Below are 21,025 nucleotides of genomic sequence, written 5' to 3' on the forward strand. Positions count from 1 at the left end.
ATTAAGCCACAATTTCTCCCATTTTCTACTGACTCTGAGGAGGTTCCACGCATCTCACAGGCCACCCACCACACGACCACATGAGGGCATGAGTGGTGGTTCACAAAGTGGCCAGCAGGGGGAAAAGCCTCAGAAATTCTTCTGCTACCACCTAAGATCAGAAGAGGTACTTGTGCTTGAGCTCTTAGCTTTAACAGGCAGCACCCTGCATATAATTCTTGAAAGGTTGCTGCTAGCTAGGTTTCATCTGAACAGAATCAAGAAAAAAGACAAGTTATCATTAGCCATCTTTTGCATTTAACCATAATTAAGTCAGAATTTGGCTGGGGACAGTGGCTCGTGCTTGTAATCCCAGCACTTTGGGAAGCTGAGGCAGGCAAATCACCTGAGGTCAGGAGTACAAGACCAGCCTAGTCAACATGGTGAAATCCTGTCTCTACTAAAAATACAAAAATTAGCTGCGCATGGTGGTGCATGCCTGTAGTCCCAGATACTCAGGAGGCTGAGGCAGGAGAATCACTTGAACCTGGGAGGCAGAGGTGGCAGTGAGCCAAGATTGCACCACTGCACTCCAGCCTGCACGACAGAAAGAGACTCCATCTCAAAAAAAAAAAAAAGAGCACTGTTCACTGAATATGTGTTTCATACGCTGCTAGATGAGACCATGGAAGAAGCTGGAAGGAGGTCTGTTAAGCCATAGTGGCTTACTTAATGCAAATACTGATAAGAAAACTTTAAATAAAATTGAAGATCTGGGGTAAAAAGTAAAGTTAATAGGATGTGAGAAAAACAAGCATAAACCCAGGACTCTTTCAGGTAAACCAGGATATATGGTCACCCCAGAAAGATCAACATGAAACTATGGCTTTTACTCCAAATGAGATGGGAGTCATTTTGGGGTTTTGAGTAGAAGAATGACAGGGTCTGACTTTAGTTTTTAAAGGTGACCCTGGCTGCTTGAGAACAGACTGCAGTGGGGCAAAGGGCAGGAGACCACTTAGGAGCCTACAGCTATAATCTAACACTGAGAACAAAGACAATAGTTCCCTAGTAGAGAGATAAATTCGTATCGTTAAAATTGTGTATGTGTCTGGAGAAAAGAACAGTTAGGGCGTAAACTACCCCTGAGCTCAAATTTCAGGTCTGTGCTTCTGGCTATTTCATACAGGGAACAATGATGAATCAAAATATCATAGTACAAAATTACCAGCTATGAAGAGCATCTACTTAATTCATCTTACACTAATTCCATTCTCATCAAGCAACCTTTTAATTATAATGTACGTCCATATAGACTTATCCATAGGAAGAGAATGCATATATGAGTAAATATAGCTGTTTTACTTGATAGCTTTAACTGTAAATTTGATTTCTGAGTTTTGTTTTTTTTTTGTTTGTTTGTTTTTTGAGACAAGCTCTCATTCTGTCGCCCAGGCTGGGATGGAGTGGCGCAATCATAGCTCACTGCAGCCTCGACCACCTGGGCTTAAGCAATCCTCCTGCTTCAGCCACCTGAGTGGCGGGGACCATAGGCACGCACCACCACACCCTGCTCATTTTTTAATTTTTCGTAGAGATGGGGGTCTCACCATATGGCCCAGGCTGGTCTCAAACTCCTGGCTTCAAGTGATCCCCCCGCCTCAGCCTTCCAAAGTGCTGAAATTACAGGCCTGAGCCACTGCACCTGCCCTAGGTTTTTAAAATATATATATAATCACTTGTCAATTTGGTTAGTTTGAGTTGGTTCCCTAGAGCTTCATCATCTCTATATAAACTAATAATTGAATCTCCTAATCTATTCAGCAGAAAATAAGACCTGGGAAGTAGTGACCCTAAAAAGTCACCCTGAGAAGACTTGTCTATGCTGCCACCTGGCCTTCCTCAGGTGATCTCTGGCCTGAGTACCATTCCAGTCAAACTGCAACAGGCATCTCTGATGCCCCCACAGTAACATCAGAATATCCCCAGTGAATGCAATACTCTGCCTGTGACCATGTGCTCATTAGAAAAAATGTAGTTCTCGGCTGGGCGTGATGGCTCATGCCTGTAATCCCAGCAATTTGGGAGGCCAAGGCGGGTGAATCACCTCAGGTCAGGAGTTTGAGACCAGCCTGGCCAACATGACAAAACCCGTCTCTACTAAAAATACAAAAATTAGCTGGGCATGGTGGTGCGTGCCTGTAATCCTAGCTATTTGGGAGGCTGAAGCAGGAGAATCGCTTGAACCTGGGAGGTGAAGGTTGCAGTGAGCCGAGATTGTGCCACTGCACTCCAGCCTTGGAGACAGAGTGTGACTCTGTCTCAAAAAATAAAAAAAAAATAAAAAAAATAAAAAAAATAAAAAAAATTTAGTTCTCAAAAACTCATTCCTCTGTGATGATTTTCTCAATTCTCTTCCTCTTTCCAAAAACATCTTTAGATTAACATTGAGGCATTATTTTTTCTCTTTCTTGGATATATTATTCTCCTTTCATATTATTTTATGTGGGATTCTGTTAATTTTCAGAAATGCACTCAAACATCCATGTTTAAGGACTATAATAAATGAAAATTTACCGGCAAGGGACTTGTGTTATCCTGAATAGAAAGGATCTCCGAAGTCTCATCAAGGTTAGTCTCCTTTCTGGAATGCTGATCCAGGGGAAGAGGAGCTGGGTTGGAATATTCATCACTGTCCTGAAGGGTGGAGCGTTCCAGTTCCTCCAATAAGGCATCTACACCATAAGAAGCAAGAGAATCATGACAGAGAATATTTAAATCCCTACAGTCATTTTCTCCTTAAATATCTTCACTGTGCCCACATTCATCTCCTTTTCTTCAATTATGGCTATTTTCAAATACTTTCCCTTATTCCTTATTTCACTTCAAGAATGTGGTGAATCCTACCAAGAAATGTTTAACACCTCCATAAATTGTGGTTTGTTTCTTATTTTCTATGGTTGCATTCAATTTCATAGTCTCATGCTATAATTTGATTTTTTATACCACAGGTATTAATTTTCATCATTCATTTAGGGTAGATTCCCCACAAATATCCTTAATTAGAAAAAAATAAAACTGGGCTGGGTATAGTGGCTTATGCCCATAATCTTAGCACTTTGGAAGGCTGAGGCGGGAGGATCCCTTGAGCCTAGGAGTTCCAGACCAGGGCAACATAGCAAAATCCAGTCTGTATGAAAAATACAAAAAAGTCAGCCCAGCATGGTGATGCACACCTGTGGTCCCAGCTACTTGGGAGGCTGAGGTGGGAGGATCACCTGAGCCTAGGTGAGCCTGCGATGAGTCGAGATCACGCCACCACACTCCAGCAGCCTGGGCCAAAGGAGTGATACCCTGTCTCAAAAAATAAATAAATAAATAAATAAATAAATAAATAAATAAATCCTAAATGCTTTTTTCTATCAGAAAAATAGAAGCAATTATATTACCATTTTTCAAAACATACGAGGGAAATAACACTTATTCTTAATCCTAATGATATTTTTTCTTAAATCTTAACAATTATCCTGAGCACGTAACAAAATTTTCAAAGCAAGGTATAAGTATCCTGTCTTTTAGGGTGTGGAGAGAAAAAATGGTTGGGGATAAAACTGAGATATTGCAAAATCAAGTAAGATGTTGCAATTTAAATAGTTGGGATTTGTTACTCTTTCAGTTTTTTTTCTTTTTTTTTTTTTGGAAAAGTATTATATACTAGTATCTATCTGTTACAATGAAATAAATAATAATTAATAAAAATTAACACATGCCAGGCACTGTGCTCAGGAGTTTACACATTTCATTTAATCATCCTAACACTTTGAGGCAGATGATATTATTGTCCTTATTTTGTAGATCACAAGAAAGAGACAAAAATAATTTGCTTAAGCGCATGAATGCAGAACCAGGACTTGAATCTGGGCTATCTGATCCCTAGCCCCTGCATTAACTAAAAGTTAGAAGTTCCAGTCTCCTGTCTTATATATATTCTCTGGGTTACCTTGAGCATGTCACATCCTTCTCTGATGCAGTTTCCTCATCTACATAACAAGGCAATTTGATTAGAACAGTATTTTTCAAATTATGGCTCAATAATGCATTAGTGGATCTCTAGCGGACTTCTTACCACAGATTTTAGCTTTCAAACTTTAAACACATAATTACATTATTTCTAAGGACCTGCCTACATCTAAAGTTCTCAGATAAGGAAAATAAACTTCACAGGTCATTAAAAAAAAAACAGATTTTTCATTTATTTTAGATTTTGGAGGAATGAATATTTCTTAATGGCGTTAGAAGAGATCTAATCCTTTTTTTTTTAACAAATGAAATATACAGATCTTTCATAATCATCCATTTATCAAAAATGTTGACTTTTATGTACCATTTTAGAGATAAGCAAACTGAACTAAACTCTCGGGCAAATGAATAACTGTAATGGGAAAAAAGAGATGAGTGGGACCCTATGGCATTAAAAAGTTGAGAGACTTATAATAAATTTCAGTGTATGAACTTTATTTGGATCATTAAATCTACTGTAAAAATGAAACAATCAAGACTATTGAACACTGACTGGATATTAAATAATATCAAGTAAGTACTGTTTATTTTAGGTGTGATAATGATATTTAATAATATTAATTAATTCTGTTAAGTTTTTAGGTGTGATAATGGTATTTTACAATATTAAGGAATTAATATTAAGGCTGTTGTTATGGCAATGGCATTACAGTTATATGTATAAATATATATTTATTTTAGAGGTCAGTGTTAAAATAGTTACAGATAAAATGACATCTGAAATTGTTTTAACATAATTACAGGGGTGAAAGGAATGGGTGGGCATATATATGAAGTAAGACTGATGAAGAACTGATTGTTTCAACTGGTTGATGGGTATATCAGAATTCATTAAACTATTTTCTCTACTTTTGCATACTTAAATTTCTTTATAATAGAAGTTTTTTAAAAAGAAGGACAAATAGGCCGGGCATGGTGGCTCATGCCTGTAAATCCCAGCACTTTGAGAGGCCGAGGCGGGCGGATCGCCTGAGGTTGGGAGTTCGAGACCAGCCTGACCAACATGGAGAAAACCCGTCTCTACTAAAAACACAAAATTAGCCAGGCATGGCGGCACATGTCTGCAATCCCAGCTACTCAGGAAGGCTGAGGCAGGCGAAACGCTTGAACCTGGGAAGCAGAGGTTGCGGTGAGCCGAGACCGTGCCATTGCACTCCAGCCTGGGCAACAAGAGCAAAACTCCGTCTCAAAAAAAAAAAAAAAGAAAAGAAAAGAAAGAAAAAGAAAAGAAAACTAAGGTAGAAAAAGAAAGAAAACTTTTTGCCTCAGATTTTTATTAGCCAGACCCCACACCAAATTTGAGAATTTTGAATTTTTATTCTACATCTTTCAATTATGCTAGAGCCCCTTTCTTTTCTATTTTCTAAGCTTTGCTCTAACTAGAAGCCAAAGATCCTCCTGAGCTCAAAATAAAAAGCCATTTACAATAAAGATTATAAGAGAGAAGAAACCATACCACAAAGAGTAGGAAGTTGCCCTCAGAAGCACCAGCTAACCAAAGTTATCAAAACCCTTCTTTCTGGGTCATGAGTTATAGGCTTTTCTCTTCCTGTTTCATATGAGTGTGCATATCACCAACACTGTGAGGTTATTATGCCTTTTGCCAGATTTTGTAATTTGAAGATGACTAATTTCAGTATGACAAATATGGGATTCCTGGAGAGTGGGGGCGGGGGAAGTGGGGACTAGACTGAAGACTCCATAATTCTTCTCTGTAGTCTTTTACTGTGGAGATGAAATAATATCAATATTAACATGAAAGGAGTAAAGTGAGGTCTCTTGGGAGTCTCTGAGGGTTGCATGGATTTCATTCGGAGGCAGAATCTGCTCCTGGTTCCTCTTTATCTATCATGCCTAATGCCTACGTAATGAGGGTTTAGGTAAAACCTTCTGGGTGTATACAAGCTGCTAGCCTCTGAGGCACCACTGCAGACAGGAAATATTTGCTCACTTGAGCCAACCTGTCCTCGATGCCATTTCTCTGCCAGCAGGAAGAAAGATCCACACCAAGTCTCAAGGGTAGTTACTGGGCTGATGACAATTTGAAGAAACTGTTGAAGTGTAGCCATCAACAGCCTGTGGAGACGTAGCCAACTGGATAATCTGCACAAATATTAGCTTCCAGGCTACTTGGTACTTTCTGTATTTCCAGACAAGATTTACCTAACATTTAGCCTGCTCAGGAGATGCAAAACAATATAAGTTTCTGTTAAATCTGGGTTACTTCATTGGACAGACACCAGAACCAATAAACTTCTAAAATAGGAGAGCACCTTGTTGCTTAGTTTTGGTGTCAGGTGTTCCCGACAGTGACATTGAAAAAGTTATTTTGTTTTTCTTAGTTTTCTCATCTGAAAAAGAAGTGGATAACACCTATTTCAGAGGGTTGCTGCAGACACTAAAATGATTAACATATGTAAAAATGTCTAGTTTTTGCTTGATTTACTAAATAAGTATTAGTTTCCTTTTGAATTATTTGCCATGAAAGCCTTTCGGTGTCCCCTCCATCCCCCCCAAAAAAAAGAAAGAGAAAAAGAAAAAAGGCCCTAGCACTACTAGAACTCAAGCAGAAATTCACATTCTCCCAGCACTCACGTAGGATAAGAAATAGAATTCTACCCCAAGTCCAAAAAAGAGTCTGGCCCAATATCAAAATAGACTTTACCTCCAAAGCAGTTTGATATTTATTAAACACTACCTTTTTCTCTTCATTAACATCTCTTGCCTCCTGGTAATTTGCCCTTTACTTTTCCTCTGTTTCTCCAGCTTTGAAATCACACGCCATTTTTTTTAAGACAATGTAACAATGTGCAAGATATTTTTTGTTGTTGTTTTTTGCACTTTTGACATACCCTATCCCCAAACACACCCCAAACCAGGACACTGTGGAATTAATACAGTTTGGAAATTGGGTATAGTTTAGTGACTCAGTGTTAGTTAAGATGCTGGCAACAGATGTTGGCAAAGGCTATGGAATGAGTCCCAAGAATGACAAACCTTACATTACTCCAAAGGTTTGAAATCCAGGATTTCTCTGGTTAATATGGTTAATAGTTCCACTGCTGGTTTTAATTGTCTTAGAGTGGAAGGAGGTGTCATATTTTCAGGCCCTAGTAATCTCTTCCTTCAGAATTCTTCTGAATAAAAAGCTTAGCAACAAAATCACTAGAGTTAGAGTGCTATGCCTTCTTGATTTAATACTAAAACATGGAACAAATGAAACCACTCTGGCCTTTTTCCAACCTCTACAGATCCCTCATTCTTATACTTCTAGTCCGTCTTTTCTTCCTCATAACACCCCAATTCCCTTTTTGCTCTTTCTTTTCCTCCTCAAATCATATCTCTGCATTGTCTCGCTATGTGGCCACCCTTGATCTCCAGTGACCTCCAAAGGGCAAAACGCCCATAACAAGACAACAACTGCAGTAACAATCCAGTCCAAAAGTATTTGCCAAGAGTTTATTCCGCGGTTAGCACCAAACTCTCCATCTATTTTGCCACTGCAAACAGTGAACCCATAGTTCCCCAAAACAATCATAGTTCCTCATGCTTCACTCTTGGCAGGGCTGAGGACAGGAAAGAAGTGAAAATAAAATCTTCCATTACTACCCTCAGTCTAGCCAGAAGTATACCCCACCACACAAGGAGATGGCAGCCAAGTCTTCACTCCCTCAGAGTTTCTCCTCAGGCTCCTCACTCACCTAACTCTTCCATTGTCCTACATCCAAGATGCTCTTGTCTCACAGGCCGTGAGGAACAGCTTTGGCATGTGCTGAAGAAGAGGACCGCAAAGGAACTGGATGAGACAGCATAAGGCAGCCTCTATAAACCTTTTTGGTTCCTGTATTTGCTTAGCACTTCCTCTCTTTTGATTTGGTGAGCTTTTTTTTTTTTTTCATAGGTTACACAGTTTTAAAAATGTGACTGACATAGAAAGGTAGATAGTAAGATTTGCATTATGGCAGTGCATTGGCCAGGGTGATAAAGATTCAAAATTAATTTTGCAAAATTTGAGGACCTACTCTGTGCCAGGATTCATCTTGGATTCATGGGAATGGCAGACTTATACTTGCGTTTTTTCCAAGTGTAGGTACCCCACTCTGAGCATCTTTCTTTTTTCTTTTTTTTTTTTCTGTGAAGCTGGGAGACACAGAGGCATAGTCTCCTTCTTAAAATTTGCATCAGAGTTGACCAGCATCCATTTCATTTTGTTGTCTTATTTATTCAGAAATTATGGTTATCTGCTTTCCTGCATGGAACGTAAATCCTTAAAAGTAGGGCAGAAGTGGATTCATGCTTGGATTCTCAGGGCCTGGTTTACTCAGTGGTCCCAAAAGCAAACATCTATAGGGTGGTCACAAAGAAGGAAGCCAGGTTTGACACCAGATGTTAAACTGTGTGCATCTCAATTAAGCATAATCCCTGCCTAGATACACTGCCTTATAGCAATTTCTTTGGAAAGTAACACTGAGGTTAACTCTTCACCTTTTTTACCACTGTGATTTATTCACCTTGAATTAAACATTTACAAAAGGCCTACTATAAAAAAGCAATACGTAAGGAACTATAATTATGGCCCTGTGAAATAGATTTTTTCCCCCTTTTTACCAATGGTGAAATAGGTTCATGTAATAGCAACTTGCTAAGATAATTAATTGGTAGCTTTGCTACTTACTATAATTGCAAAGTCTGGGATCTTTCCTCTACAACACCGTAGCCTTCTTTACTTTTTTTAAGACAAGCTCTCTGTCACCCAGGCTGGCGTGCAAAGGTACTATCATAGTTCAGTGTAACCTCCAACTCGAACTCCTGAACTCAAGCGATTTGCCCTTCTCAGCTTCTGGAGTAGCTGGGACCAGAGGTGCATCCCATCACGCCACCAGGTTAGCTTAAAAGCTTTATTTTTATTTTTTATGTAGAGGGTGGTCTCCCTATGTTGCCCAGGCTGGTCTGGAAGTTCTGGGCTCAAGGGATCCTCCCACTTTGGCATCCAAAAGCGCTGGGATTCCGGGGGTGAGCTACCACATCCAGCCCACAGTGGCTTTTTTTTTTTAGGGAATAATTCATTCTCCATTCCACTGTCTGTACATTTTTTTTTGAAAGGAGATTCCTCCTCTGTATTACTTTGAGCATCCATTGGATGTCAGCACTGTTCCTTCCAAAAGTCTGCTCACTACAAACTCAATCTTAAAAAATTTCCATTGACACTATGCCAATCGATTATTACAACTGAAAATGACATTAGCCCTATGAAAATGGAAAATACTCAGTAGAGAATATAAAACATTTGTCTAATATGAAGTGGTATCTGAGTCAAAGTACTGGAAGGAAAAATGTACTTCAGCACTTGTCTACAGTTTAACTGAATGATTAATGTGAAATTTAAAATTGGATCCCCAGATCTTGTTTCCAGCTTCTTTCTTTTGGGACTTTTAGCCCTGGATGCCTTATTTTCCAGGGGTAAAGGATGTTCTTGCAAATCGTTCCTTGATTGTAATGGATGAAAAGAAAAAAGAAATGGGAGAGGCCCACTGCATCACCAACTGCAACGGAAATTCCCTTTGATGAATCAGGAAGACAAATTAATGTCATACGCTAGCGTGCAGAAAAGTAACCTCTGATAAAGTTGCTATTGTATAAACCGCAGAAGCAGATGGCTTCCGGCCGCAGAGCTTAAGAGACCCTTCAGCTTCTCGGTGTAGGTCACCAGTCATGTCACGCTCACAACCCTTTCGCCTCCCTCTAGGTCAGGCACCGCATCCAAGTTAAGCAACCGACGCCGGCTCCTTGGTGTCCCAACAAGGTCTAGTAGAAAAGCAACTTTATAATTCGTTTCACAGATTTGATTAAGAGCCAACTGAGTAGTGGGCCTTGTGCTAGGGCTCCGAGGGCCCAAGGACCCCATGGAACCAGATTTAGTCGCTGACCTCTAGGAGCTCACAGGTGAGTGACTCACACACCGGAAGACGAGATCAATAATGTAGACATGAACGCTGGCTAGCCAGTCCCAGAGGAGGTGTCATCTGACCAAACCAAGGCAAGTCTGGGCAGTTACGCAGACACCCCGAGAAAGGTACGCCAACGCCCAGATAAAAAGTAAGAAAAAGTAGGAAAAACCCTCCCATCAGACCAGCAATTGGCTCGACGCTTGAGCCCGGATGTACGGCACGCGTCGCGACCTAACCCGGAAACACTGCCTCCCGAAAAAAAGGTAAACTCTAGACTGCGGAAAGTAAACTACCTTTCCCGTCGTGACTCAGTTAGAACCTCCCGGCATCCTCTCCACCTCTGGTTTCCCATCTATTTTTCCTAAAGCCTAGGCGAAATAAGACTTCATCTCCCAGAATGCCCTTGGTTAAGTTAACGGTGCGCATGCGCCAAGAGGCGGGCCCTCGTTGCCCCCACAACCCCGCCTCCGTTTTGCCGCCGCCATTTTTTCAGAGACTTTCATCCGGCAACCGACGGGGCTTTTTTTCTTAAAGGAGAAGCGACAGCTCAAAATACTACCCCCTTCTCCGCGCAAGATCTGGCGGCGCTGGGGACAGAAAGGCCAAAGACAGGAAAGTGGGGTAGGGTGGAGGCGGAAGAACGCCCAGGCTACTTCTGCGGCCTAAAGAAGAATAGAAAGAGCCCTTGTGGTATCAGTGGCTCCTCAGGGAGGCAGGTGCGCGCGCAGCCAGTCTAGGGTTTGCGTGAGGCGGGGAAAGAGGTGCGATTTCTTCTCACCCGCCTCCCTCGCGAGACCTGCCCCTCGCACTGCCCCTAGCGCGCGTTGAAGTCTGGAGGGGGGAAAAAGGTCACTTTGGGATTGTCGCGAGACACAGCCGTTTAACGGTGAGAACGGGTGCGCGGGGAAGGAAACCTCGCGCGCTCCCCTTTTAGCCGTTTCCTGATTGGCTGAAGGAAGGGGTGGGGGAGGGAACCTGGGGCGCCGCTGCGTGTAAGACTGCGAGGGGCGGGGTGAGGAGGCTTGTCCTCTTTTCCGATTGGCCCGCTGAGCGTCTGTGGCGCGCGCGCGCGCGCCGCCAGCGGTAGCGGACCTTGAGTGGCAGGGGGTGGGGGGGGCGCCCTCGGAGCCGGGCGGAGGGGAGGGGGGAAAGAGGAGCGCAGGGTGAGAGTGAGCCGCAGGCTTCGGGAGGCGAGGGGGCGGGGGGAGCAGCGCCGAGGCCGCCGCCTCCGCCTCCGCCGCCTAGGACTAGGGGGTGGGGGACGGACAAGCCCCGATGCCGGGGGAGACGGAAGAGCCGAGACCCCCGGAGCAGCAGGACCAGGAAGGGGGAGAGGCGGCCAAGGCGGCTCCGGAGGAGCCCCAACAACGGCCCCCTGAGGCGGTCGCGGCGGCGCCTGCAGGGACCACTAGCAGCCGCGTGCTGAGGGGAGGTCGGGACCGAGGCCGGGCCGCTGCGGCCGCCGCCGCCGCAGCTGTGTCCCGCCGGAGGAAGGCCGAGTATCCCCGCCGGCGGAGGAGCAGCCCCAGCGCCAGGCCTCCCGACGTCCCCGGGCAGCAGCCCCAGGCCGCGAAGTCCCCGTCTCCAGTTCAGGGCAAGAAGAGTCCGCGACTCCTGTGAGTAACAGTCTTTCAGGCGGTGGGAAAGACCCCCCTCTGTCCGTACGCAACCCTCTCGGCTCCCGTAGCGCCTACTCCACGTGACATCCTGCCTGGTCTGCCCCCTGCCGGCTCCGCACGCCAGATGTCACACCGTTTCCCCGGGAGCCTTCGTGCCTCCTCTCTGCGCCACCCTCATCTCGCTCCTGTACCTTCGCTTGTCGGGCCGTTTCCCCACTCCCCGAAATCATCTTTTGATACACCCCTGCACTCGCTAGTGATCCACCTCCTCCCTGACACCCGCAGGCTCATCCCTCTTTCTGGCATCCGCACCCCCTTTGTCACCCTATCCCTTTCCTTTAGGCGGCTCTCCAGTATTACATCACATGCCCTTTAGGGAATACACAGCCCGATCATAGCCTTCAAAAATGATTCCCCCCCGCCTTCGCGTTAGCTCAAGAGCCAGATGTACTAGTGTGTTTATGTAGCTTTTTTTTTTTTTCACTTTTCTAAATTTTTCGCAACCCTTCTCATTCTTTTGAGAAATTTGCCACTTATTATGGTCAGGTTAAAAGCCCACTGCTACGATTTTAAGTATGGAGTCTTTCATATAAAATTATATGAGCATTCTTTAATGTTTGTTTTTACTAAGTAGCATATGTTTTATCTTTGTGTTTCGTGTTTTTAAATGTAGGAACTTCATCCTTGAAATTAGAATCATCTGAGAGGAATTCCTTTATTACCTAGACGTAATAGAGGAAACATGAACAGGTGGCCAGGAGCATTGTCTTAAATTGTTCGTTAAAATAATACTCATGTTAAGAATACTGAAGCACACAAGTTTGTAAATTCTAGAAATTAATCACATTGACTATTCAATTCATGACTGAAAACATCATTAGTGACCTTTGATTTTTGAGTGAAAACAGATTAGTAAAAACAGAGAAAATTGAAGTGAGGGGGAGTCAGTTTTAAGTGTTCCCTTTCTTCCAGTAGAGATAGTGGCAAGGTTTGACTTACACCAGACCTAATAGATTTAAAACTTGAAACAGACTTGGTCCAAAATTAAGAGTTAAGCCTGTGTCTTGGCATGCTTGCCTTAGAAGCCTCTCAGAAAGAGAAATAAAATTCAGAGGTAATCATATTGTGGTATTAGATATGCTTTCAAATTTTTGAATGTCAGCTAAGTTAACATAATTTAGAGAATTTGTTGTAAGAACTGCAGTTCTGTCGACAGCAAAAATCTGTACTTACAGATTCAGCTGCAATTAGACTTCTAATTGCTGTAGATGCATTTCATCTTACAAAAATTTTATAGTTCTATATTGTTTAATCTCATGAATTTGAAAAGATACATGTATATCATTGACCTCATTTGGATATGAATTCCGTGAGCAAATTCCTTAACCTACCCATGCCTTAGTTTCCTTACCTATAGAGGATAATCTCTGCAACGTGAGTTTGTGAGAATTAAATACAGTGTGTAAAGTGCTAGACACAATGCCTGTTGTAAATACTAAGTACAAGTTGCGTTTTTCAGTAATGGTGGGATGGTAGATCCTTGAGTGGTTTGTAGTGAGGTTTTTCATATAAATTATGCAAAATATGATTTTTTCACTCTTTAATATTACTATTCGTAGAGAGGGTAATACTTAAAATATTTTTAAAATTTCCTTTTATTCTCACCTACCCCTTGAAAATTAAATATACCTATATCTCAAGATAAGATAATTATGTCTAAAATGGTACCTGCTGTTTAATTTCTTTTTTTGGAGATGGAGTTTTTGCTCTGTTGCCCAGGCTGGAGCAGTGCCACGATGATCTCTGCACACTGCAACCTCCGCCTCCTGGCTTCAAGCAATTCTCCTGCCTCGTCATCCCAAGCAGCTGGCATTACAGGCGCCCGCCACCAATCCCAGCTAATTTTTGTAATTTTAGTAGAGGTGAGGTTTCACCATATTGGCCGGGTTGGTCTCCAACTCTTGACCTCAGGTGATCCACCCGCCTCAGCCTCCCAAAGTGCTGGGATTACAGGCGTGAGCCACTGCGCCCAGCCTGCTGTTTAATTTTTGAAGGAAAATAAATAATTTTTATCTAAAACAGTAATTTTACCTGCTGTCATGATTTATTTTTGCCCTAACTCTTGGCAACAAAGTACTAGTGACGCTTTAATTCCATATAACTGTTACTGTTGTATATGGATGAAGATGACTTAATTAAATTCCTTCCTTTTTTCTGCACAATGTTCCTTGTGGGGAGGAAGAAATAAGGCTGAATTCTTAGCGCCACCCGCCTCCCATCCAATATCATTAGAAAACAGTAGTGACAATGGCATTCTTCTTTCAGCCCCAAAATTATCTCTTGACTGTGTTTTTGATCAGGTTGTTAAACAAATTTTCGTCATAATAGAGTTTTTGTTACACATTTTTACCTTATTCCATAATCTGGAAATCAGAGGAATGCTAAAGCATTTTAGCTTGGCAAACTTGTTTCATCAGTATCTGGGCCTGGTACTATGCTGAACTAGGTGGTAGAAAGAAAAATGAGACATGGCCCTCATCTTCAAGGACCTTGGGGTGTAAGGCAAAGATGCATTAATTAGTGGAGATATGTCAAATGTGTGTATGGTATACAGATTTTCAGTCATAAAATACATTTTAAGACTTAATTTTTTCTACATAATTTAATCCTTTAAGATATTTCAAGAGGTTTTGAGTCCAAACCCTGGTCTGGTATCTTTGACTTTGAGTCATTTCTGTTTTCCAAATGACATTTTGAAAATTTTAAAAAGGAAGGTTTATTCTGTATTACTTACTTGTTCGCGCTAGTCCTTTTTCCATATCCCAGCATTTCCCTGTATACAATCTTAGTAATCAGCTGTTTAACCTACATTTGATTTTCTTAATTAAAGTGATAGTAAAGTATACCATAGTTTAAAAGGTCAAGAAATAGATAGATTTGGATTGGTTGAAACCTCTGTTCCCATTGGAAGGCAAAATAATAGAGTGGATAAAGCATTGGACTTTAGTCAGAAAGTTTTATGTTCCAGCTTTGTACTGTGCAGTAAGTGGCCTTGAGCAAGTCACTTAACCTCTTCATTTATAATTGCTTCATTTATAATTGATATTTTATGAATTTGCGAGATGACATATTTAGCTTACAGTTTTTATAATCTGATGTTTATAACAACTTCTTTTCACAATGAACTATTTAGGGGTTATTGGGAAGAGGAAATATTTGTGGATGAAGGGGAAATAAAAATTTTTCATTGTGCTCAAGAGAAGCACAGAGTTAAATGCTAGAATCATGATAAATTGAAGCATAGAAAGCTAGTAGGAAAAATAAACCAAATTTGAAGAAAGTTTATGTATCCATACTAAGAGTAAGACTGATCATTTGCTGTATGTTAGCCAGTAAATTACAGTTATTTCAAGTGCACGTTTATATACTGTCTTTAATTTTTGAAGTAAAATCTAGTAGCATTAGTATACTAGTTTTTGCCTATGATTTTTTTCTGATTCATCCATGCGTTCTGCTAGTAGGGAATGAAATTGTCAAATTAAGACTAGGTTAAAATGTATAAGGCTTTTTTTCATTCTTACATGTAATAGCCCTTCATTTATCCTGTGCATTTCAAAACTTAAAACTTTAGGGACAAATACTTTTTAAAAATTCTAACTTCGCTGTTGAGTAACCATATTAGCTAATACTGAGTATTTTTAGATGTCTTCCTTCAGGTTCAGATTAAGGAAAGTAGTTTTATTTTCTAGTATGTGAAATTCCATTTTTGGTATATTTTCTTGCTAAAATTAAAACAGTAATAAACCTTTAGGTGACCTTTCTTGCTGTTTCCCTTTTGAAGGTCATGGATAGTGAGGATGAAGAGGTGGTAATATTCTGAATTGAAAAAACTTACAGTTCTTTGGAGAAGCCTTCAGTTGTACAAGACTGAAATCCTGTGATCAGGATCTTAATCAGTATGATGATAGAAACATTGAACCAACTTTCAAGGTTTTTGGAAAAGTTTGTTATATAATTTTTCAAAAATTTAGCAATTATTTCTGCAGTTTTTATTTAAAGATGGGATGATTAGCAGTTATGGTGTGTTAATTGGGACATTGGTAATGTGATTTAAAATAAAATTATAATACCAGTCTTTTTTAAAAAAGTATGGAACAAACAGTGATAACTATTGTTTCTAAGTAGAATAGATTTTTGTATTACACTGTGGCTTCTGTATTTGTCTGGGTATTTATTTATAACATATTGTAACATAATAGAGTCTTTACTATATTAGGTTTACTTTTGGGAGGAGCAACAACAAAAAAACTTTGTACTGTTCAGAGATACTCTGTGGTATCTATATGATAAATGTTCAGGGCCTGTTGACTTTTGAATTTTAGTAGTAAGTATAGGAAGTTCATTATACTGTCCTCACCAGTTACGTATGAGAGAAATTTTTCTGAATGAAAAACCTGGGGATATGTCTGATTTTTGTTGTTTTGGGGGTTTTTAAAAAAATCTTCAGGCTATAACAATTTTTAAGCTCTTTACTGTTGCTTTTTAATTTGTAAAGGGCAAGTTACATTTACTTGTGAGGTCCACCTATTGTCTTTTTACAAGTAGATTTTGATTTGGTCTTAACAAACAATTTTAGGGTCTTTTTAACACTTCATTGAGTTTTTATTATGAAAATTGTTAAATATACACAAAATAGGGAAAATAGTATAATGAAACCCCAGTATTGATCACCTAGCTGAGATTTTGCCATGCTTGCTATGTCCATCCTCCCTGTTTTGGCAGAAGTATTTTGGAGCACATCCCAAACATCATTTCATCTCTAGTTAGTACATTTATATAAAATAAGAACATTTTCTTATATAATCACTTAATGTAACAAAATTAGTAATATTTTCTTTGTATCAATATCTTAGTTAAAAATAGGTGTTTTGAATGATATTCTAGCTCTGTGCTGTCAGTTATGTAGCCACATGTGGCTATTTAAATTTACATTAATCAAAATTAAAAATTCAGTTTCACAATTACATGAACTGTTTCAAGTGCTCAGTAGCCACATGTGACTGCCATATTGGACAGTGCAGATATGTTTCCATCACTGCTGAAAATTCTGTAGGACAACACTAGTCTAGATGCTTTCTTTATCACTCTGGAGGTGAACCTGAAAGAGATATTTATATTTTCAGAAAATGTGCTAGATTGTTCATTAATGTTTGATTCTTATTTCTTTCAGATGCATAGAAAAAGTAACAACTGATAAAGGTAAGACTTGGTCATCCTTACCTCTAGCGTACATTACACTGATTATCTTTTAATCTGTTAGAAAGCCTCATCATTCAAATTGGTTCCCATTTAAAAGGAATTTTTATTTGGTAAAAAATTACTGGAGTTAGAAAATATTTAGACGACAGCACGTTTGGATAATAGAGTATATTGGCATTATTTAGAAACCTAATAAAGGCAAATCAGATTGTTTGATGGTAATTTATAGTAACTTTTTTAAGCCTTTTATTTTTAAATGAGGTAACAGACTGGAATGATACACAGTATACAGAGTAAAGTGAAGGCAAAAATTTTTATGCTAGTAGAAATACAGATTAAAATTACAGGGTGAAGAATGCTGAGTGTTCTAAGAATTCAGCCTGGTGAATAATTAAATTAGGTCAATATTAGGTCATTTTCCTTTAAGTTTGAGTGTTAGCACACCAGATGTATGTATTATAGTTTTCTGTTTTCCTGGATTATGACAGGAAGCTAATGTTCACTTTTTCAATAACTTTTAAAATACTTTATTCTGGCTTTGCAGATTAGGTTATTAAAATTGCCCTAACGTGTTGGACCAGTTGCTTATTCGTTTCATTTTTGTTTTTTTCTAGTTTTTGGCTGTGTTCCTTGATGTTAAATTCAAACACACAGCATCCTCCTTAAAACTGAACAAATATACTTTTAGGCACATTTCTTTTATTACGTGTGACCTTGACCCAGGCTTGACACAGCCAGTTTCCAAACTCCTAGAATCCACCTAGTATCCATAGCTTTTAAGGTCTGCTTATAGCCTGCTACTATTTCTATAAAAGAATATATGTATATGCATTTTATATATCAGTGTATGTATTACATGTACATGAGAATCTTAAGGTTTTTCTGTTCTTGATAAATAATTCTTCGAGAACGTATAAGGCAAGTTTAAAGCCTGGATTTTGTGCCATATGGAAGAATGATAGTGTAATTTAAGAACCAATAACTTGCATTGGTGGTGGCTGCTTTGTAAATAATTAGGTTTCAATGCTAAGGTTTCTTATTTCTCTGAATTTTGGAATGTGAGTCTAATATTTCATAGTATAGCAGGCAGAGGTTTTTCATACCTGGCATTTTTTTTTTTTTATTTAGAAACCTTGGCATGATTATTTTGTCTAGCAAGTTTTTTGTTCCTGTTGTTGTTACTTAGAAAATAGGTTATGTCTGCCAAAAATGGAAGGTCTCACATTTCTTATTCAGAGATCAATTTGGAGATTTTATGATGTGGAGAAAATATAGAGACAGGTAACAAGTCTAGAGCATTCTGATTAAAACAAAAAGCAACCTGCTTTTGTCAGAGCTGAAATTACCTTACGTGTCCAAAGAAATCACTATGGGTTGCCTTGAGGCGAACTTGAAGAAAGGTGGAAATTTGGAGCCCCTTTTGGAGAGAAAAGTAGATGACCTTTGGGTAGACGTCTTTTTTTTGTTTGTTGAGTAAAGACAGGGTTTAGCCAGGCTGGATTCGAGCTCCTGGCCTCAAGTGATCCGCCTGCCTCGTGTGTAAATGTTTTAAACTAGAAGTTGACTTATTGGCATGTTTTGTGGTTGTGCAGCTGTGGAGAGATTAAAACTACATTCTGGATAATTTGATCCGAAGATCAATCCCACTTTACTGTTTAAAGGCCCTGGATCTAGATATTCTCAAATGCCAATCTTCATCTCTGTTAGTTTACCCATTAAGGTAGCTGTTCAACTCTATGAACAGTAGATAGGTATATAAGAACTGTAACATTCATACAAGATGAATGAATAAAGAAATGGAGGCTCGGGTAGTCACTTTTTCCTGTTGTGTTTCGTATTTAGAATTCACCTTAATTACTTTTCTTCTGGTCATTTAACTTCTCAGTTATTCTGGTACTCTGGAATAGTCCTCATGTTCAGTCTGCTAAATTTTAACTGAAATAACTCATGTTCATTTCAGAAGTTAAGGGTTTTTCAAAACTTTAAACAGGTTTTATTTTTTAGAGGTAAGACTGGCCTTCTGTTATATTAATGCTGAAAAGATATCTTCAGGATTGTTTTTACTCTTATTTACTCAAACCATCTAGAAATTGTATGCCTTCTTTGAGTTGAAGAGAAGAACCTTTGACATACACATAAACAATATTGCACACACAGAGTAGGCAACTTTCCATTAATTTGCAAAGCTGCAAATTAAGTTGCAAAGTTGCAACTTAAAAAAAAAGTTAAGTTGCAAAGTGCTACATTCATTTTTTTCAAACTGAAATAATAAACATGAGTATTAGTTCCTGTTTTTGCTACCCTTTTTTAACCGTGATTGGTGTATAAAACAAATGGAAAGCTACTATGCTAAAATAGTGTTAATTCATTCAACAGGTAATTGTTGAGCATCCACTATGTGTCTGGCGCTATTCTAGGCACTGGATTCTACTGGTAATCAAATAAATGAAGAAGTCAAAACAGTGTAATAATGTTTGATGAAGTTGGAGCTGAGAAAGCTAAGTTTAGATGAAATGATAAGGGAAGACCTTTTGGTGGAGGTGACATTTGAGATTACACCTGAATATGCAGATAGTTAATTTGGACAAGGAACATTCCACACAAAAGTTAAAAAGGAAAAATTACTTCAAACTTGAAAGCTTAGTTTACCACTGGCAGAGGATTATCTTCATGATTGTGGAGTTTCCAAGAGTGTTAGTAGAAATCTTAAGGGATGGAGATCTAGTTCCTTTTTAACTTGGCTTTATGTTTTCATTGTTTCTCTGTTTTGAACCAGTGTTGTACTTTGATTATAAAGTAAAAGAATAGTCTACCTACACGTAATTTTTAGTTATCCCAGTGTTCATTTTAACTTATTTCACTTTCTAACCTCTGACTAGACATGTTATGAAGCCTAATTTTTTTTTCTCCCATCTGTTATGTCCTTAGTGAGGAATAATAGTTAAAACTGCCTCTCAAGATAAAACATAAAAATGGAGACCAGAATACCTTAATGTTTATTAAAGTATGTTTTAAATGTTTAATGGAATGATAATAAATACTGTAGAATCAAGTAGATGTGGGCAGTGCTTCAGTTATTAATGTTAGATAGGTTATTTATTGCAGAACTTCTCAGAAACTTTGATTTTTGAGTAATGTGCAGTGTAAATACCAAAATTTTGCAGCGATTACCTAACCTATTTGACTTATAAGACCCCCTTTTTAAAGAGCATTTCGTAAAACTGGAGTTTACAGAAAACATACTTGGAAATACTGCATGCTTGAAAATTTGATTGTATAAAACTCTGGATCTCAACCTTTTATTCAAAATCATTTTACTCTTTTCAGTTGCTCTTATGAAATAGTGATGTTTGACAGTGATTACTGTGAGTCTCTAACTTGTGTAGTCAGGAAAAAAGAAGTCAGTCATCAGATAAATTCATAACAGATCTCAGCATTTACTTAGATTATTTGGAGCTTAACTGTTAAGTATTTACCTTACCTAGTTTATCATAATCAGCATACTATCTGTAATTATTACTAAAGTATTAGTTTATTTTGATTATTTTTCCTCCTGTCTGGATGACATCCTCAGTTTTTTTCTTATATTGATACAGTCTAATTTATAGCTTATGCCTCTGTGCTCCATGTTTTAAAATTAGAATTAATTTGTTATTAACAGTTTTCATAGATTTCAACAGTTTTATTTTTCATGTATTGAAATATCTTTGATTATCGTATCCTCTCAAATCAGTCTCTTGTATCCCATTCATCTTGGCCTCTTGTCAACTTGCAACCTCAATATAACATTGACTGTTTTTACTTCCTTTACAGATGTGTCTGTTTTATAGTATACTTTTTTGTTGGTTTTTCTTTCTTTCTAGTATATTTAAAGAATATTTTTATTATTTCTAAAAATACAGAAGACACATTTTTATGCTTTTTTTCCCATTCCAGTGAGAAAAATCTAACTTGTAATTCTTACCATTTGAGTTTGTGTACAAAAGGAAGAATCGAGAAGATACTGAGAACATTGTCTTCACAATTCTTTCTTGAAAGATTTTGAATCTCCTTGCTAATGACCTAGTTTTCCCAGTCAAAATAAAATCTTTTAGGTTTTGAATAGAAAAAGAGTTCTGGAAGGAAAATCTGTAGGTGAGA

General features: G+C 38.9%; 2 protein-coding genes and 1 long non-coding RNA gene across 14 annotated transcripts in view, besides 11 other annotated features; 2 read left to right on the top strand and 1 right to left on the bottom strand.

Moving 5' to 3' along the window:
- The window catches only part of LPXN (leupaxin), a 52,021-nt gene extending 41,129 nt beyond the window's left edge, over window positions 1–10,892 (bottom strand). For 4 of the 11 annotated variants that reach the window (NM_001143995.3, XM_017018579.3, XM_011545393.4 and 1 more), the window contains exons 1-2: window positions 10,020–10,134; window positions 2,557–2,714 (exon numbers count right to left, since the gene is read on the bottom strand). In NM_001143995.3, coding sequence (NP_001137467.1) covers window positions 2,557–2,714; window positions 10,020–10,047 — 186 coding nt within the window. In that variant the 5' untranslated portion in view covers window positions 10,048–10,134. Of the gene's footprint in view, window positions 1–2,556; window positions 2,715–7,760; window positions 7,858–8,734; window positions 10,135–10,300 lie in introns of those variants that run through there. The other 7 variants (NM_004811.3, XM_047427883.1, XM_011545394.4 and 4 more) reach the window with 4 other exon arrangements.
- Window positions 7,730–7,789: an enhancer, noted in NCBI's record as "active region_4734". NCBI's record gives its function as "activates an Ori minimal core promoter by ATAC-STARR-seq in GM12878 lymphoblastoid cells {active_cell/tissue: GM12878}" and the evidence as "EXISTENCE:reporter gene assay evidence [ECO:0000049][PMID:35858748]".
- Window positions 7,800–7,849: an enhancer, noted in NCBI's record as "active region_4735". NCBI's record gives its function as "activates an Ori minimal core promoter by ATAC-STARR-seq in GM12878 lymphoblastoid cells {active_cell/tissue: GM12878}" and the evidence as "EXISTENCE:reporter gene assay evidence [ECO:0000049][PMID:35858748]".
- Window positions 9,538–9,587: an enhancer, noted in NCBI's record as "active region_4736". NCBI's record gives its function as "activates an Ori minimal core promoter by ATAC-STARR-seq in GM12878 lymphoblastoid cells {active_cell/tissue: GM12878}" and the evidence as "EXISTENCE:reporter gene assay evidence [ECO:0000049][PMID:35858748]".
- Window positions 9,818–9,897: an enhancer, noted in NCBI's record as "active region_4737". NCBI's record gives its function as "activates an Ori minimal core promoter by ATAC-STARR-seq in GM12878 lymphoblastoid cells {active_cell/tissue: GM12878}" and the evidence as "EXISTENCE:reporter gene assay evidence [ECO:0000049][PMID:35858748]".
- Window positions 9,918–10,437: an enhancer, noted in NCBI's record as "active region_4738". NCBI's record gives its function as "activates an Ori minimal core promoter by ATAC-STARR-seq in GM12878 lymphoblastoid cells {active_cell/tissue: GM12878}" and the evidence as "EXISTENCE:reporter gene assay evidence [ECO:0000049][PMID:35858748]".
- Window positions 9,918–10,748: a biological region, named in NCBI's record as "NANOG-H3K27ac-H3K4me1 hESC enhancer GRCh37_chr11:58345528-58346220".
- Window positions 10,056–10,748: an enhancer, noted in NCBI's record as "NANOG-H3K27ac-H3K4me1 hESC enhancer chr11:58345528-58346220 (GRCh37/hg19 assembly coordinates)". NCBI's record gives its function as "activates a minimal SCP1, AML or CMV promoter by ChIP-STARR-seq in naive H9 embryonic stem cells {active_cell/tissue: H9 hESC(naive)}" and the evidence as "EXISTENCE:reporter gene assay evidence [ECO:0000049][PMID:30033119]".
- Window positions 10,468–10,697: an enhancer, noted in NCBI's record as "active region_4739". NCBI's record gives its function as "activates an Ori minimal core promoter by ATAC-STARR-seq in GM12878 lymphoblastoid cells {active_cell/tissue: GM12878}" and the evidence as "EXISTENCE:reporter gene assay evidence [ECO:0000049][PMID:35858748]".
- ZFP91 (ZFP91 zinc finger protein, atypical E3 ubiquitin ligase) overlaps window positions 11,064–21,025 on the top strand; it is a 42,488-nt gene continuing 32,526 nt past the window's right edge. For both annotated transcript variants that reach the window (NM_053023.5, NM_001197051.2), the window contains exons 1-2: window positions 11,064–11,623; window positions 16,857–16,885. In NM_053023.5, the coding sequence (NP_444251.1) occupies window positions 11,283–11,623; window positions 16,857–16,885 (370 nt within the window). In that variant the 5' untranslated portion in view covers window positions 11,064–11,282. The remainder of the gene's footprint in view (window positions 11,624–16,856; window positions 16,886–21,025) is intronic.
- Window positions 11,115–21,025, top strand: part of ZFP91-CNTF (ZFP91-CNTF readthrough (NMD candidate)) — a 46,620-nt gene continuing 36,709 nt past the window's right edge. Inside the window, exons 1-2 of the long non-coding RNA NR_024091.1 lie at window positions 11,115–11,623; window positions 16,857–16,885. This is a non-coding gene — a long non-coding RNA (ZFP91-CNTF readthrough (NMD candidate)). The remainder of the gene's footprint in view (window positions 11,624–16,856; window positions 16,886–21,025) is intronic.
- Window positions 11,118–11,537: a silencer, noted in NCBI's record as "silent region_3358". NCBI's record gives its function as "represses an Ori minimal core promoter by ATAC-STARR-seq in GM12878 lymphoblastoid cells {active_cell/tissue: GM12878}" and the evidence as "EXISTENCE:reporter gene assay evidence [ECO:0000049][PMID:35858748]".
- Window positions 11,118–12,133: a biological region, named in NCBI's record as "H3K27ac hESC enhancer GRCh37_chr11:58346914-58347605".
- Window positions 11,442–12,133: an enhancer, noted in NCBI's record as "H3K27ac hESC enhancer chr11:58346914-58347605 (GRCh37/hg19 assembly coordinates)". NCBI's record gives its function as "activates a minimal SCP1, AML or CMV promoter by ChIP-STARR-seq in naive and primed H9 embryonic stem cells {active_cell/tissue: H9 hESC(naive and primed)}" and the evidence as "EXISTENCE:reporter gene assay evidence [ECO:0000049][PMID:30033119]".

The sequence above is a fragment of the Homo sapiens genome, chromosome 11 (genome assembly GCF_000001405.40).
Source record: "Homo sapiens chromosome 11, GRCh38.p14 Primary Assembly".
Lineage (NCBI taxonomy): Eukaryota > Metazoa > Chordata > Mammalia > Primates > Hominidae > Homo > Homo sapiens.